The 17103-nt window shown below is 34.9% G+C and overlaps 2 long non-coding RNA genes across 2 annotated transcripts; one reads left to right on the top strand and one right to left on the bottom strand.

Moving 5' to 3' along the window:
• Positions 1–7897: 7897 nt before the first annotated feature.
• LOC124903203 (uncharacterized) lies at positions 7898–16891 on the top strand. Its single transcript, XR_007063857.1, has 2 exons — positions 7898–8150; positions 13497–16891. It is a non-coding gene; the product is annotated as an uncharacterized LOC124903203 (long non-coding RNA).
• On the bottom strand, positions 10693–12950 carry LOC124903204 (uncharacterized). Its single transcript, XR_007063858.1, has 2 exons — positions 12411–12950; positions 10693–10875 (listed from the first exon to the last, which is right to left on the bottom strand). It is a non-coding gene; the product is annotated as an uncharacterized LOC124903204 (long non-coding RNA).
• Positions 16892–17103: the final 212 nt, after the last annotated feature.

Here is a 17103-nt window from a genome sequence, read left to right as displayed (position 1 = left end):
TGTACAATTATTTAGTTTCTGTTTCTGATGGCACAAATGGATTTCTTCCCATGAACAAATGTAAAAGTATATCTTTCATGTAGTGTGTTTTTTTCCAAATTGTGTGAATATGATGCTAACATCATTGATATTTTGAAATATACATCATGGAAATATCAGTTTATTCACATCATATTCATTAATAGTATGGCTGAAAAGACACTCAAGACTTTTCTTGATAACAATATTAACTCTTGTGAAATTAGAATTTTGTAAAAATGATTTTTCCTGAAATAACCGGGATATTATTTCTTGCATAACTGTTAAATACACTACTGGGGTCTCTCAGACATCTTTAAAGCTACCATTATGTTTATCAAAATGGATCTCTTAATTAAATGAAGCTAGCTATTGATTTCACCAGATTTGGTAACAAAATTATTGCTCTAGCTTTGGAGTTGGTAAATATTTTGTGCATGAAAGACCAGGATAGTACATATTTTGTACAAATTTTAGGTTTTTCAGGACATATATGGTCTTATATTTTTATTTTTTCTCACAATCTTTAAAAATGATTTAAAAAAATTAGCTCACCAGATGCACAAAAGCAGGTCACAGACCTGATTTGTCTCTCAGTTTGCTAAAGGTCACTGTAGCTTGTTTTTAGAGGAAAAATAGTATTTATGATATGCATGATATCACACGACACACATTTGGAATGAGACCTTTGTTGGAAGAATGTGTAAGACCAAATAAGTATAATTTCTTAAAGATTAACATTTTGATCTAAATAATTACTTTATTATAAGGTGTGATGACTCTGTCCTAGGTAAGCTAAATTATTTAAGTATTAATAAACATAAGCTAATCACTATAATAAATAATGCCTTAATGTCAACTTTCTTTTAACATGATAAGAACTTTGTTACTTATTAATGACAGAATCCAAGCACACAAACTTCCACTTGATAACTTAGAGAATCATGCACTTTGAGTTTTGTAATTTCTTTCATCTCTAGGTTTTTCAAGTCCTGTTCATTCAGTCAGAAGATGAGAAAAAATACTATGATGTTTGCAGGTCAGGTTTCGCAGGTCAGGTTTTGTAAGCATTCACATAGAATAGAAAAAGCTCTGGCACGTTATATTGGCCAGATCTTAAGCACCATGGCCACATCTAGTGTTAAGTATGTGTGAGAAGTGTAGTCTGGCTGTGTGCTCAGCAGGAAAAGCAAGCAGATTCTGTCGAGCACATACAGTTCTGGGACATACTTAAACTTTATTTCTTCCCCTTCAGTTATACTATCCCCCTTAGGGTGCCTGTCAGACTGAGAGAGCTGACTCTGAAGAGTTCCCTGCCCATTTCTATAACAATGATTCATCATTCTTGCCACAACAGATTGGATCGGTGTTGGACATCTGACTACAGGTAGCTTTCTATTTTACCTGGTTAATGAATGTGCCAACTAGATTTCTCTTGGGAAGTTTTAACTCAAGACATAAGAAGAGTCAGCTAAGAAATAATATTGAGTGGCAGTAGAGTCAAAGATAGAGAGTGGTTGAGGTGCCATGATTACGAACAAGTAGAAAGGAATGATACATGCCTGAGGCTGAGGGTGCAACAAGTTAACTGAACTCCACAATCCTAGACTCCCAACAGATGAATGAAAGACTAGTCTCAGTTACTTGATCTTTTTCCATCTTTCTTAATTCTATTGTATATTAAGAATAGGCAGGTGGAGTGGCTCACTCCTGTTATCCCAGCACTTTCGGAGGCCAAGGCAGGTGGATCACCTGAGGTCAGGAGTTTGAGACCAGCCTGGCCAACATGGTGAAACCCCATCTCCACTCAAATTATAAAAATTAGTCGGGCGTGGTGGTGCGCAACTGTAATCTCAGCTACTCAGGAAGCTGAGGCAGGAGAATTGCTGGAACCTGGGAGGCAGGGGTTGCAGTGAGCTGAAATCACACCATTGCACTCCAGCCTGGAAGACAACAGCAAGACTCCAACTCAAAAAAAAAAAAAAAAAAAAAAGAATAACTTAACCTCAATTAAGTTTACCTAGTCCTTATCTTAAATTCAGAATTTATTGTACAAAAACATGTACTTAATTTGATCAAATTTAAGCAGTTTGATTTGAACCAAGATGGAAACTTGTCCCTCATTAGTAATAAATACATGTTCATAGATTTCCCAGTACTGATGATGGGCCATATCTGACTCTCTCTGCTCTGTCCTTCCATGTGTATATATTGCCCATTATGACATTTTCCATATTTATTATGCTACTTATTTGTCTTACCCATCAGATTGTGACATTTTTGGAGCACTCTAAGCACAGATATATTTAATTAAGCAAATATTATATTCAAATCCCTCAAGTGAAAGGAACTGATTGCTTTAGCCAATCACCATCCACTCCTTTTAGGGATGATTAACATCAAGAATATAGTCTTGATGACAATGAGCCATAGCACAGGAATTTAAACTTACTAATAGACAATAATTAACACATGATTTGATCACCCATATAATGCACATTTTTATGTATGTACAATAACGTATACATATTTTCTTGATGTATTTACTGTAGCACAACCTATTAAAAATGAGTTAGTGGAACTAGAATCAAAGCTTCTGATACCTTGAGTAAGAGAAAGAAAGAGCACCTGTGAATGCCAAGCCCAAGGAAAGTCACTTAAAAGGGCTGTAAGTTAAAGGTAAAGGAATGGTGTCCTATTTGTTCTGAAGAAAAGAAACTTGGCAAAGGCCCTCAAATGCTTATTGTAAATGATAGGATCAGGATCATTGTTAATGGATACTAAAAGAATTCTTAAATATTTCACAGAATGGTACAACTCAAAATCAATGGGAGAGGAGTAGCTGGGTTGGCAACATTTACTTTTTTCAAACAAGATTCTAAAAACAAAAACAAACAAACAAACAACCAAAAAACCTAGATTCTACCAACCCAAAGTAAAATTTTTCATTATTCCTTTTTTATGGAAGGAAAGGCATTTCAGTACAAAAAATTAGAAAGGAAATAATCTCAGCCTTTAAAGTCCTTAACAATAAATACATTTAGCTTTAGGAAAAATTGTACTAAGTCAACTTTTCTTTCTTTTCATTTGACATGGACAAATACAATGTCATTATGCAAAGACACTGGTTTGTTGATCAGCACTTAGAAATAGCTAAATTCGATTTGGTTCCAAAAATAGACCGTATGTACCAAGGACAGAGAGCAGTCCAGTGCCAAGTGCTTAGATGTGGTTGAGAAAATCAAATTGGAATGACTGAGACATGATAATAATGTGTTTGCTCCCTATTAAAGGTCTTACGTGTGCTAAGGAAAAGCTGCTTCTCAGTTCTCACTTCAGCTGGCAAAGCAAAACTTCAGTAGATACAGGTGAGTGGAAATTCAAATGGAATTAGCAGGCAAAGGCTCAAAATCAAGACAAATGAAATTGTCATTAGATCTTCAGCATATAATCTGTTTGACTTTTCCTTGTGCAGAAATCAAGAGCTACTCTTTTCATTGTTAGTTAAACTAATATGCTGAAATAGAAGTACTGTACTATTTACAGATAATGGATTATTTTTCATTGACATCAGTTGAAGAAACTCAGCCTTAAATATTGCTTATCCATGAAAAAGGAGAAGATGAACTGATGATAAGGTAATACAGGTGAAATTTAGATGTGACTTACCATACTGCAAGGCTCATTTCCTGTCAAAACTGCCTGTGGTCAAGAAATTTTAAAGAATTCTTGTGTTATCTGTATTACTCCATTTTCACGCTGCGTATAAAGAAACACCGGAGACTGGGCAATTTACAAAACAAATAAATAAATAAATAAAAGAGGTTTAATTGGACTTACAGTTCCACATGGCTGGGGAGGCCTCACAATCATGGCAGAAGACAATGCGGGGCAAGTCACATCTTACGTGGATGGTGGCAGGCAAAAAGAGAGCTTCTGCAGAGAAACTCCCCTTTCTCAAACCATCAGATCTCCTGAGACCCATTTACTATCACAAGAACAGCATGGGAAAGATCTGCCCCAATGATTCAATCATCTCCCACTGGGTCCTTCCTGCAACAGGTGGAAATTATGGGAACTACCAGATGAGATTTGGGTGGGGACACAGAGCCAAACCATATCACTATCGATCACTCTATATGTTATATTCTGGGGTTTGTAATTTTTGTATGTGCACCCTGTATTTTCATACATGTTTCAGACAACTCAGTTCTGTCGATGTGTCTTTAATCTATTTTCCAGTTCATTAATTATAGCTTTATGTTTGATCTATTTAATTTCCTCTCTTGGTTTCATCAACATCTATAGCTTTTGGTAATCATAATAGCAAATACCAAATGCTTGCATAGAGTAAACAGGCACATGTAAGTGTTGAATTTTATTTTCACCTGATAGTACTCCAGAACATTTTTTAGCAAGGCCAGAACTGTGGTTTAAGAACCAGAATTTTGAGGTCCGAGAGAGAAACAAATCTTGACAAACTCATGCTGATGAGTTTGGATTTTGTCCAGTAATAAGCCAACAGGAGAGTGTTGTGATAAAATTAATTTAAAACAGCAACCTTGGTGACAGGGAAGGTGATAAACTAGAAGGGATTAAGACATGAGTAAAGTTAGAAAAAAAAATCGTGCAATCTTTTAAGTAAGGGATTCTTACAAGCTAAGATAGGAAATTTTCACTGGGGATAGAGAGGAAGGAGTGGATTAAAGAGAAATTTGAGGGTAGAGTTGACTTTCTATGACAACTAACGTAGATAGTTGAAGGAGAAATCTAGGCTAGTCTCAAAGACAACTGGGTTTCCACTGAGGCTGCCCAGACAAAAAAACATGCTGAAAGAAATTAGGAAAAACAAAGTTGGAAAGGAAATATATTTTGGACAGATACAGTTCCTGTAGAATATACAGGAATATTCTGAAGAATTGCCTTTATAAAATGAACACGTGGACATCATGCTTCCCAGAAAAAAGCATTGGTAATCTTTCCATTCTTCTCTGAGTCAGATTGAGCTGTTTAATATTTCTCAACAGAGCCTCTAAAATATGACTCTTCTTCCTCTTCGTTCCCAGATTTCTCTGGGCATTGGCTGGCTCCATTCTGACTTTCCTTTAGGTATGCCTAAATGAAATGCCTACTTCTCTCAAAACAACATCTTGCTTACTTCACACCTCCTTGAGCACACTCACTTCTTCAGCAAGAAAAGTACTCACCTCAGGGAGGGTGAGCATTTATTTATTAAGACTCAGCCCAACACAATCATCCTCTCTTTGAAGTTATTTTTGTCTTTTTCCTGAGCCTCCACCCTCAAGGTCAAATTTACAAGTGACTTTTACATTCCCTGATTGTATTCTTCAAATTCATTAGATTCAATGTTTACATACTTGTTTCCCTCAGTACAGGACAGATATTGTCTTGTATTTGTTTTTCTAGGCAAATGGCCAATGTAACTAAGGGAGAATGATGTTTGTTGGATGAACTTATGACCAAATGAATGAACTTGTGACTGATTGAGCTGACACTGTCTGTTAGGCAGTTAAGCGTCTGTAAGTCTGTAAGTTAAGTGTCTGTATGTCTGTTAAGTGTGAATCAGGCATCCCAAACGTAGATTTCACAGTAAGGGAGATATTTGGATGATACCAAATAGACAGATGATCATTTCATTGGAGAGGGGGTGGTTAAGGTGTTCAAGGGTTGAAGAGAGTTATTGAGGTGAAGAATGAAAAGAGGCTACTAAGTTTGTACTTAAGGAATCAAGTAAGGACAGAAATCATTGTTGGGAGATGGTGACTAGCATGACCATAGCACTGGGTAGTTCTGTAGGAAGTATATGAAATTGTGTATCTATATGATATGGCTTGGATATTTGTCCCCTCTAAATCTCATGTTGAAATTTGATCCCCCAAATTGGAGGTGGGGCCTGGAGGGAGGTGTTTGGGTCATGAGGGCGGATGCCTCATGAATAGCTTGTTACTATCCTCACAGTAATGAGTGAATTCTCATTCTGTTGGTTCCCATGAAATCTGAAGGTTAAAAATACTCTGGCACCTCCTTCTCTTGTCTCTTCCTCCCTCTTTCACCATGTGATGTCTGCTCCCTCTTTGCCTTCACCATGATTGAAAGCTTCCTGAGGTTCTCACCAAAAGCAGACACTGGCACTGTTTTTATTATACCACCTGCAAACTGTGAGCCAAATAAACCTCTGTTCTTTATAAATAACCCAGACTCAGGTATTCTTTATAGCAACGCAAATAGACTAGGACTCTGTCTATCTATCTATCTAGCTAGCTAGCTACTTATCATCTATTTATCTTGGTTAGTTTATGCTCACTGATCTTTTTATGAGGTAAGTATAGAATATTTAATTGGCCAGAGCCAATTATATAACCTCAACTATAAACAGCAAATGAACGGGTCTTTCACAATTGAGTTTCAAACAAGGAATACTAAGCTAACATTATCCAACCCCAACTTCTGTGACATCATACTAGACAGACTAGTTCAAAACATTTTAAAGTATAGAAATATAGGTATAAATATATATATATACCCAATTTGATTACTTCATTCATGAAAAATAGTAATATATCCTTTCCAAAGTCCACATCATAGTTTCACATAGAACATATAAAAACTACTTGAATATGAATTTCTTTTGCTATAGAAAGAGTAAGACATATTGAGACAACTTAGTGAAACCTCCAAGAAAATAATTTCAAAGCACTACATTGGTACATTTATTTTTGTGTCTATATTTTGAACTTAAAAATGTCCCTATGAAGTAAGACTAATTTTTCATATAAAACTTATTTACTTAAAATGAAAACTAACATATATCTTTATAAGGACTAAGAAAAATAAAACTTTATACCGAATAGTTACATTTTAAAAGGCTGTATAAACTAATTATTAAACTAGTGAAGTGTTACATTTAATTTATTAGATTAATTGACCTACTTAATTATATTTTTAAAATATTAGTTTGATTGCATCAAAATATATTTACTTCTACCACTAAACAGAGATTCACTAAATTATATATCCTCTTCTTCATAATTAATTTCATTTATCATATAAAATATCAATTTTATAATCATAACTATGATGTATCACTCAGCAGCTGAATGTTTTAAAAAATAGATGACCTGCTCATCATTGCAGCAAAGAAACTTCAAGAGCTTCCAAAGTAGGTCAGATCATAATGGTGACATTGAACTTTTCAACTGGGAATAATTAGGTTTTATTTTCGGTATTCACTGACCTAGCCTGAAATTTAATGTAATATAGGAATAGTTTAGCTACATTTGGCCTTATTTATCTGCAATTTTTCAATCTGTATTCTGTTGAAGTAGTTATTTTCTCTGAAAACTTTTGCTAACATCTGCATTGGCTACTCTTTGCCACAATTTAAAAATCCAGATTCATCAGTGGCAAAAAAGAAAAACCTACTGTCACTTCCACCAAAGTGACAGGAATTGGCTGTTAAATCATTTTCATTTCAGTGTCACTGAACAAAAATATAAAAGCACCAATGTTATAATAACCGTGAAAAACAATTTTTAAATAATGATGGTAGCAATGGAGGTTGGTTGTCGTGTATTTTCTATTTTGATACCTAGCGCAATATAAAAAGCAAACAAATTTAATTAGACTGATTTCTATTTTGTCACATGATTCAAGAGAAAGCATGTGTTAGAACAAATAACATTTATCTTTTATTATCAGGAATTACTAGATGCAGTTCAATTTTAGCAATATAATATCCTTCTCCACAATTAGATTTTATTTTATTTATTCATTAAATATTTTATTTATTAAATTTGTTCATTAAATATATTAAAAATTAAATTTATGTATTATTTATTTATTTATTAAAATATTTATTAAATATTTTATTTGCCACACTAGTTACTGCAGCAAAGAAGGAGCCACCTGCTTTCATTTGAAGTTTGCTTTCATAGGTGTGAGGGCAGCCTGCTACCTCATGTCAGCATCCATTATAAGGCACCATGCAAAGTGACATGACACAGAATGACAGCTGCAGCCACCTCAACATGGCATCCGTGAAGCTGATATCGACGAGGCTGCCGTTACATGTGCTCCACATCCTAGCTGAGAAAAAATGGAGAAATGCTCAGGTATTATTATTTTTGTTTTCATTATCTTTACCAATCTAATTTTTGAAAGCAACATAAAAAACAGTTGATTTTTATCAAAATATCCAAAGCAGAACCATTCAGATTAGTGAAATGAGGAATCACCATTTAGACTGTTGTTTCTTAAGCTGATAATCAAATGAATCAAATGAAAATGCTAACAGAATCACTTGGTTTTATATTTTGAACATATTTGAAATTGAACACATTTTCTGACCCCAAACCAATAAAATAGGAATAAATACCATAACTTCAACATTTAGACATTCTATGAGTTTATAGTTTTGCCATTTTTGATGTGCAAAACTCTGTAATGCTTCTTATTTTGTGTTACATGTGTACTTTTTCGTCTCCAAGTAGATTGTAATCTTACGGAAGAAATGTACCACATTTAATGGCCTTTAATGAGAGAGATATACATAAATACCCTAGAATATCTAAGCCATAGAACTTAATATAGTTACAAAGGGACTTTAAACCTTGTGCCGCTAAATGTCAGTTCTTGTAGGTCCTGACAAGCTGCAATAAAACAATTATTTTCCTTAAAATAATGTTCAAATTCATTGTGGGGTATGGTAGTTTTCAAGACAGCATAAGATTAAAATTTATTCTCGAAATCATATGCATTTTTAACATTTTTTGGTAAGCATAATACAAAACACTTTTAAAAGGCTTTTGATTTCCAAGGTGACAAAGCATTATCTTAAATTATTTTTATGTTTTAACGACACGAAAAGCAAAGGGATATACTACTTTCATTTTTAGGAAAAAACACACAAATGGATTAACATTTTTGCCTATATGAAGCAGATATTTAATTTGAAAACTAGAAGATCTAGGTCTGGCCCCCATGGCACTCTCATTATATAATTTCCGGCAAGGTTGTTAGACCCTCAGTCACCTACTTGCCTCTTGAATGATGTGATCATTCTAACATGATATGATCTGCTGTCTATTACATCTCTGTAGCACAAGGAAAAGTTACGAATTTATTTGATGTCTAACACAGTAAATCCTATGAGCATTTGAGTTGCTGCTGTTTGAAAATTTTAAATTACTTTTACATAAACAAAAAAATCTGTATTTGTCTCTCTGTATGCATATATATATATACATAATATATATATACACACACACATAAATAACTGGCTTTACCTATAAGAATAAGAACTAAATCTTAGATGTTTGGTAGGAAGAGAAGGTTTATACGGCTATAATGCAATCAATACAACATTCTATAATTTGTTATAGGGAATTTTCCTAGATTTTCGCTCCTTACATGGGTTGCATCAGGGCCTACATAATTAAATATTTATGGTGTATTTTTCACAGATACTGCATACATTTGGGTATATATTATGGGAAGGGTCGGCAGTGTATTTTTGTGTCAAAAATATAAAAGTGAATATATGTGTGACTGACCAAGAAATATCTATCTTCTTTTTAATAATCTGTTGAAACCCATATTCAAAATAAAAGTAGAATCTTCACAACTATCCACTCTTCCCAAATTAAAATTAGAATCTTGCTAAATTAATATCCATGGTATTAACATCCTTGTAATGTACCAAACACACTTAGAGTTACCTGTGTTACTTTTGATTCCCCTTTGTCCTTAGTGCTGACGCTTAGTCTTTTACAAGATCCACTAGTAATATTTTCTCCCTAATTTCCAGTCTCAAGACAAATCTTGTCACTGTGAAACAAATGTATTAAAACAATGACTCTCCCTTCTACCCGTCTCAAATATTTAATCTACTATCCTAAAAAGAAAGGATAGGACACAAGACTAAATACCTTTTTCTTTCTGCATCTCTCTTATTGAAAAAACATAAAAGTGTTCACATTTTCGTATTTTATTCAATCAAAATGCTCAGAATAAAGTTTTACATTCTTTTTGAGTAGTGACCGAATAATCTTGGCATTTTGGGGAGCAATTTTGTACTCTGTCCTAGGAGATAATTCTGTGCAGTGGTCCTCCAAAGTCATAGCAGATTCATATTAAATATTGGCTCTTTTTCAAAATATGTTATGTTGAGTGTGTTTTCAGGATCCAGGTCATTTAGCATTATTTGGATAAATACTTTGATAAATTTCCACACCTTGTTCATGAGTCATCAACTATTGGTGACAATTTTACAATCTCTTTTAAGACATTATAATTGTGTATATTTTATTAAACAAATATTATTTATTTAAAAAATATTCATTAGCAATATGCCACTTACGGAACATTTTATTTACTATTTTCTCATTATGCAGAGTTTTTTTTAATTGGAAACCTAGAGTATGGTTCTATAACAATCACTTTTTTGAATTAACAATGTTATTATAAACATTTTCAAATTGTTATCTAATTATAACAGTTATAAATAATAGTTATCATTTTAGAGGTCATAACCAAAACAATTATAATGACAATTTGACTCCAGCCTGGGCGACAGAGCGGGACTCCGTCTCAAAAAAAAAAAGCCATGCACCGCGATCTCTGTGTAGCATATCAGCTCAGAGAAACAGCACAATATTCCTGTTTTATTGCCTTTATTTTACAGAATAGAAAACGTATGTGAGCTAAGGTCATTGCTGGAAAGAGGACTCAGTTCTGCCAAGCACCAAAGCCCATATACTTTTCATCTTTCAGCACTTCAGATGGAATCTGGGTAGAGGATGTTTATGTCGGGTAGCCACACTTTTGAAGAAATCTGCACTGAATTTTAAACAAAGAAGTTGAAATTTTAGGGATACCATGTGAGATAAAATTTTTATCAGAAAAACATAATGAGAAAAACAATGTTATTTTTTAAAAAAAAATTAGGTGAGTAGGTATAAACATCTAGAGGTGTTACATATTAGCAGTAAAAGTATAAAGGCTACGTATTTGTTCATATGGTGTCTTGGTGTATATGGCTGTTTCCATAAATGCATATGTTTAGTAATTTATAAAATATGTCCTTATTTTAATAGTTATGAATGAAATGTAAGGTAAAAAGAAGAGCTACCCTTAGATAGCCATGCCTGTACATTCCATTTTTCAGTTTATTTATTGGGCCATTTGTCCCTTGCTAAGAGCATGTTCAAAATTTTAGGCCAGGCATGGTGGTTCATGCCTGTAATCCCAGCACTTTGGGAGGCCAAGGTGGGCAGACCACCTGAGGTCAGAAGTTTCAGACCTGCTGGGCCAACATGGTGACACCTTGTCTCTACTAAAAATACAAAAATTAGCCAGGCGTGGTAGCACAGAACTGTAGTCCCAGCTACTCGGGAGGCTGAGGCAGGAGAATCGCTTGAATCTGGGAGGCTGAGGTTTCAGTGAGCCCAGATCGTACCATTGCACTCCAGTCTAGGCAACAACAGTGAAACTCTGTCTCAAAAAGGAAAAAAAAAAAGAAGCAAAAGATCAAGGAGAAACTGCTGCAAACTGTTCTAAAAAAATTGCACTTCAAACTGAAGCCTATAAAATGGCAATAATCATCATCTTGTGATACTCGTATATCACAATATATGAAATTAAGCAATATTAATGTATTGTTTTACATGATTCTGATTTTATTTCACATATGCTTCTCTTCTTTATCAACTGGTTTGAACTGAGAACAAATATTTGTTTATTTACAAATATATAATTTATTAGTAAAAATGAAAGTAAATGAAATATGTTAATAACTAATTATTGATTTTTTTCTTTTTTTCCTTTTTTTAGAGACTGGGTCTTGCTCTGTTGCCCAGGCTAGAGGGAAGTGGTGCAATCACATCTCACTACAGCCTCAAATTCCTGGGCTCAAGTGATCCTCCCGCCTTGGCCTCCCAAGTAGCTGGGATTACAGGCTCACACAACTGCACCCAGCTAATTTTTTATTGTATTTTTTATGGAAAAGGAGTCTCATTATGTTGCTCAGGCTGGTCTTGAACTCCTGGCCTCATGTGATCCTCCTGCTTTGGCCTGCTGAAATATTGGGATTACAGACTTGAGCCATCCCATGTGGCCTGATTATTGAAAATTTTAATAGAGGAAAATCAAGACATAGCTTCCATATCATACCCATGCCTCCACTTCCCCATCTCTTGGTGAATGTTTCACAAATGCCGTTATAGTCTTAGGATTGATAACCATACGTGGATGGGAGTGCTGGGCAGTTCATTCTTTTGAGTAGACAAATTAGACAGTTTTAGGAATGGAATCTACCACCATATACTATATATTTTATCTATTCTAGGAAACACATTTTCTCCGAACTTACCAACCTTGAAATCAGGATACATCTAGAAATCAATGACATCTTTCAGGATCTGCTGGCAGGTATTAGCCACTGGAGGAATGACTGCAATTCCATTTATCGTCTTGAAAGGCAAAAACAAAGGGCTTCATTGTTTCTAAGAATGGAAAGAGATCAAATTGTGTTATATTTGCCAACTGGGATAGGCACAAAATGGCTGCCTATCAGCTGAAAACCATGTGGGGAAGAAAAAAAAAAAAGAACAAGACAACTCACTTGGAATATATTCAATACATTTCAAAGTTTCCAAAAGTTACTGTGACCAATATATATGCTGTATAGAATTATTCCTGAGCATGCATCATAGATTATCAACTTTTTTTTCCAGGTGGTACATTTAATGGTATTAAATTTCATAATCCATTGACTATTAGGTTTAAGCAAAAATAATATGTCTTTTACATCAATAGGAAAGCCTGCAATTTAATTATTTGAGTGTTTAAGCCCTTTGTTCAAATGCACTTTTGCGAGTTTGATCTATGGGTATCTCTGTGAGCAGTATATACAAGTTGTGCTTAGAATATTTAGAGAAAGAGGCAAAATGCTAAAAAGGAATTGCAGCCACTAAAAAAAAAAAAAAAAAACCATACAATTTTGACTGCTGCCTGACATATCAGCAAATTGGAATTAAACACTGATACCACAAACAAGCACATTAATGTTAAAATATTTACTTAAAATTAATTTATTATTTAATAAATCTTTGCCCTTGATCAACAGTATTGATGATGCAAAAGATTTAGTGAAACAATAATTTGTAGAGGCGTTTTTTAAAAAACAGGTTGATACATAGAAAACAGTATTTCATGATGAATTGAGGAGATGAAAACATTATCTTCATCCAGGTGCTTCTGAAATAGTCTTAGTTAATGACCTAATTCATGTGTTGTTTTTTTTTAATCTGCTCTGCCAGTATGTAAATTATTCTACAAGAGTTAAGTAATTGAAGAGGCTTAGTAAATCTTCCAGGAAACTATGATACTGTTTGATATATTATCCATCCAGAGCAGTAACATGATTAATATACTTCCCATATTGCTCTGCTTTTTTTCAGAAACTATGAATGAATGCAGAAAAACACCCTAACAGAAACACACAACTGAGTTGGCTTTACCATTAAGGATTTCATTAAGATCAAAGGAACCTGTTTCATCCATCTTAAACCTTCACCTGGCGAGGTGATTTTTATAAATCATAGTCTACTTTTAAAGTTATGCTTACTAGAAAACAGGTCACAATGTTACCCGGGATGTGGGGGATACACCAGGAGGGAGTGGAGGAACATACTTGCAAAAACATCCGCATTCCCCTTTAGTGGATACATTTCTTGCTCCAGTTTTTAAGAATCACTGTTTGGAGACTGGTTTACCCGTTTCTGTATGCCAAAGACAACAAACAATCCACTCCTCGGAGTCCAAGAACTCAAGATACCGCTTGCAACTATTCATGTAAAAGGCAGCTAGACATAAGGGCCTGTGTTTCCTCTCTTGATAACCTAGCCTTTTTATTCCTTTCACTGAGGACAACGCACCAGATTAAAGCACATTAAAAGATAAGGCATTCAGTACCATTAACTCTCACTGTGGACAATGTTTATCTTCAGGTTGTGAGAAATCTGCTAAAAAACATATGCAATGTTGGCATGTTTTTACTTACAAACCTTTGATTTTTTTAACCTAGAATGTTGGGATTAGCTGATGGCTCCTTTCCTTATTTACATTATTTTTGCAGTTTTTTTATTTAATCGGTAAATGGTTAGTATTCCCAGGGCCTTCCTTACCACCCACACATATTTGCTGACATAGTAACACTGACAAGGAAATAAATGCTTAAAGAACTGTGGGCTGGAAATGAACTTTACATGCCCTTAACCACTTAGCTAGACTCAAGTAATGAAGCATCAAAAAGCAAACCCATCAGTTAGGTTTTGTATGTGAAACAGAAAAAATACTTAGTTTAACTTGTTATCTATAGAAGCATAACACACCTAAAATAAAGACGAATGTTTTTTGTTTGTTTTGTTTTGTTTTGTTTTCTGAAGGACGACATCATAATCCTGAAGCTCTGCTGGAATTCTAGCTTCCGAGGTTTGGCTGAGGAATGCCGTTGGTGAGGCTCATGCCTTCCCATACGCACACACAATGAAGAGATTCACTCCAGTTCCATATAAATACACCATGTTCCAGTAGTTGGCTTACTAACTCATTGCCCTGAACTTGACCTTTTCCTAGAGAAGGAGTGTCGGAAATGTGGTTAGCTTCTGAGGCAAATCCATAAAAGCCAACCTAACACATATTGAACACAGAGTAGCTTTCCAAACCCATGGAGTATGGATCCGCTTTCCCTGTGTCAATATTGTTTCCATGGAAAAATCCTTACGCATTCCAAGTGGGGTGTTCTCTCTCCATATGGGGAAGCCCAAGCACATCCCACTCTAGCAAGAGAAACAGATAAGCACACCCCACTCTAGCAAGAGAAACAGAGGTAGCTCCCTGCCTTACGTCCTGTTTTTTCCCATTCTGACGGGGAGGAACGTCTTTAGCATACAGTGGCACTACAGCTAATGTGGATTGAGTCAGTCACTCAAGAATTCAGGGCTATGCCAAGGTTGAAGATCAGAAACGGTCTTCCTAGAAGGTGGCTGAAGGGTTACAGACTGTCATCAGAAAATCCTTACAAACCAGATTTAGCTGGTGTCTCAATCACCACTGTCACTTATACCATGTGCCCCACTTCTCAGGGACTCATATTTCCTGTCACCACCTCTTGTGGCTTCTGAACAGCACCTCCAGCTTTCTCTTCTGCCTCTTCCTTACAGGAGTCCTCCTCTCTCTGGAACAAAGGTGCTGCCATATTCCTGGCGATAGCCGTGGTGGAATCAGATGGAGAATAAACCATTTTCCTGGAAACAATTCTACTTTGACTAAATGAGAAACAAAACATAATTTTTCATATTATTTCAACAGAATATTGCGTGCAAAAACTTCTAGTCATTTTTAATAGGCTTAGTGGAGTTAGCAATTCTCTAAGTAAAACTTACAAAAGGACATCTCTTTGAGGCAGAGATTGGAGGCTCTGAAGAAAGGGCACTGGTGGGTAAGGGTTGAAATTGGAATCATTACTGGCCCGTTTCTTTCTCCACTGTACCAGGTGATCTGGAGCAAGTTCAAGGGCATTGACATAGGGTGGAAAACAAAGAGGGTCAAACTTTTAGGGGCAGCAAACGGAGGGGCAAGGAACACACAAAGGAGAAAAACCCAAAGCCATAGCTGTGCAATAGAAGCCAATTTACTTGAGGTGCTACTACAAATGTTCATTTTTAAGGTGAGTGGAGAGACTAGAAACTACCTTGGCATTACATAGCAAGGGCATTTGGGGGGATTTCTGTATAAATTTTACTAAAATGTAAATGGTGCAAAGAATTTCCATCTTAAGCCACTTGTATTAACAAGTATTTCAAGTTTTGGGTTTACTAAATTTAAAAAACATTAGAGATACAAATTAATTAATAAAAGGATGATTTTCTTATTTTGGGAAATTGAAGAATGCCATTTTCTGCACCTAGCATCAGACCGAGGATATGAGGTGAGTCTGCCTATGTGAATCGCCTTGCCTGTTTTCATTAATGACCGTGTCCTTTGTTAATATTCTTACGATGAAATGTATTCAGAAATATCATTTCATTTTCTGAAAGTAAAAACTTAGTCAAAAAACAGAGCCAAATGAGACACAGTGATGGTGAACCATTAATCTCTTCCAAACGGGCTCTTTAAACTCTAATAATAAAAAGTATCACCTGGCTTCGCATTTCCCCTTTGCATATGCATACATTTTGAATGCTTTTCAGTTATCTTGTCTATTGTTGTTTACGTGCATTTTAAAATCTATGGTGAATATGTGTTCTCTCTGAGACTTGTTTATGGAATCCTCAAGAAAAGAGTGGAAGAAGCTGTTTATTGAAATCTCTTGTCTCACACTTGGCACCAGGACATGCCAGGTTTAAAACAATGTTTGCCTGAAGGTATCCTTTTCTGATCCAGCATAGTTACTTACATGTTGCCTGCTAGGTATACTTCTCAACTGTTTTAACATTAATGTGTTGATAATATTAATAATAATAGAAGAATTTGCAATAACAACTGTCATTTATTACAGCAATACAATTTTTGAAATAAATTTTAAATAGATCATTCTAAACACCACAGCCTATGCATGTGGAAACTGACCCTAATATAGCTTAGCCCTATTAAGGATTTTGCAAGGTAGCATAACCAGTTAGTGGAATAACTAGTATATGTGTCCAATACTCCAGACTCATGACCCCAAGCCCTCTGCCGCACGTCTTCTAATCTTTCTAAAAGTAGCAGCATTTAAATTATTTTTGTCATTCAGGAATGCTTATTAAATAAATTTCAATCACATATTTAATAAATGTAAAAAATACCCAAAGCTTGATTGTCGAAAGTGTTCCCTTCATTTGTTAATATCAAAAGATACTAACATTTTGAATGTGTGTAAACCTTCTAAAACGTCATTAATAATAGTGATGCAAAATAGTCATTAGAAAGGAATGAGTCATTTGTGATTTCAAATTTTATATTTTCCTTGACAGAAAATTTAATTTTGATTTCAATTTTCCCAGGCACATGCACATTTCCAAC

Source organism: Homo sapiens, chromosome 13, assembly GCF_000001405.40.
Source record: "Homo sapiens chromosome 13, GRCh38.p14 Primary Assembly".
In the NCBI taxonomy this organism is placed as follows: Eukaryota; Metazoa; Chordata; class Mammalia; order Primates; family Hominidae; genus Homo; species Homo sapiens.
Note: the sequence above shows the minus strand (reverse complement) of the source record. Positions and strands in the feature narration are given on the sequence as shown.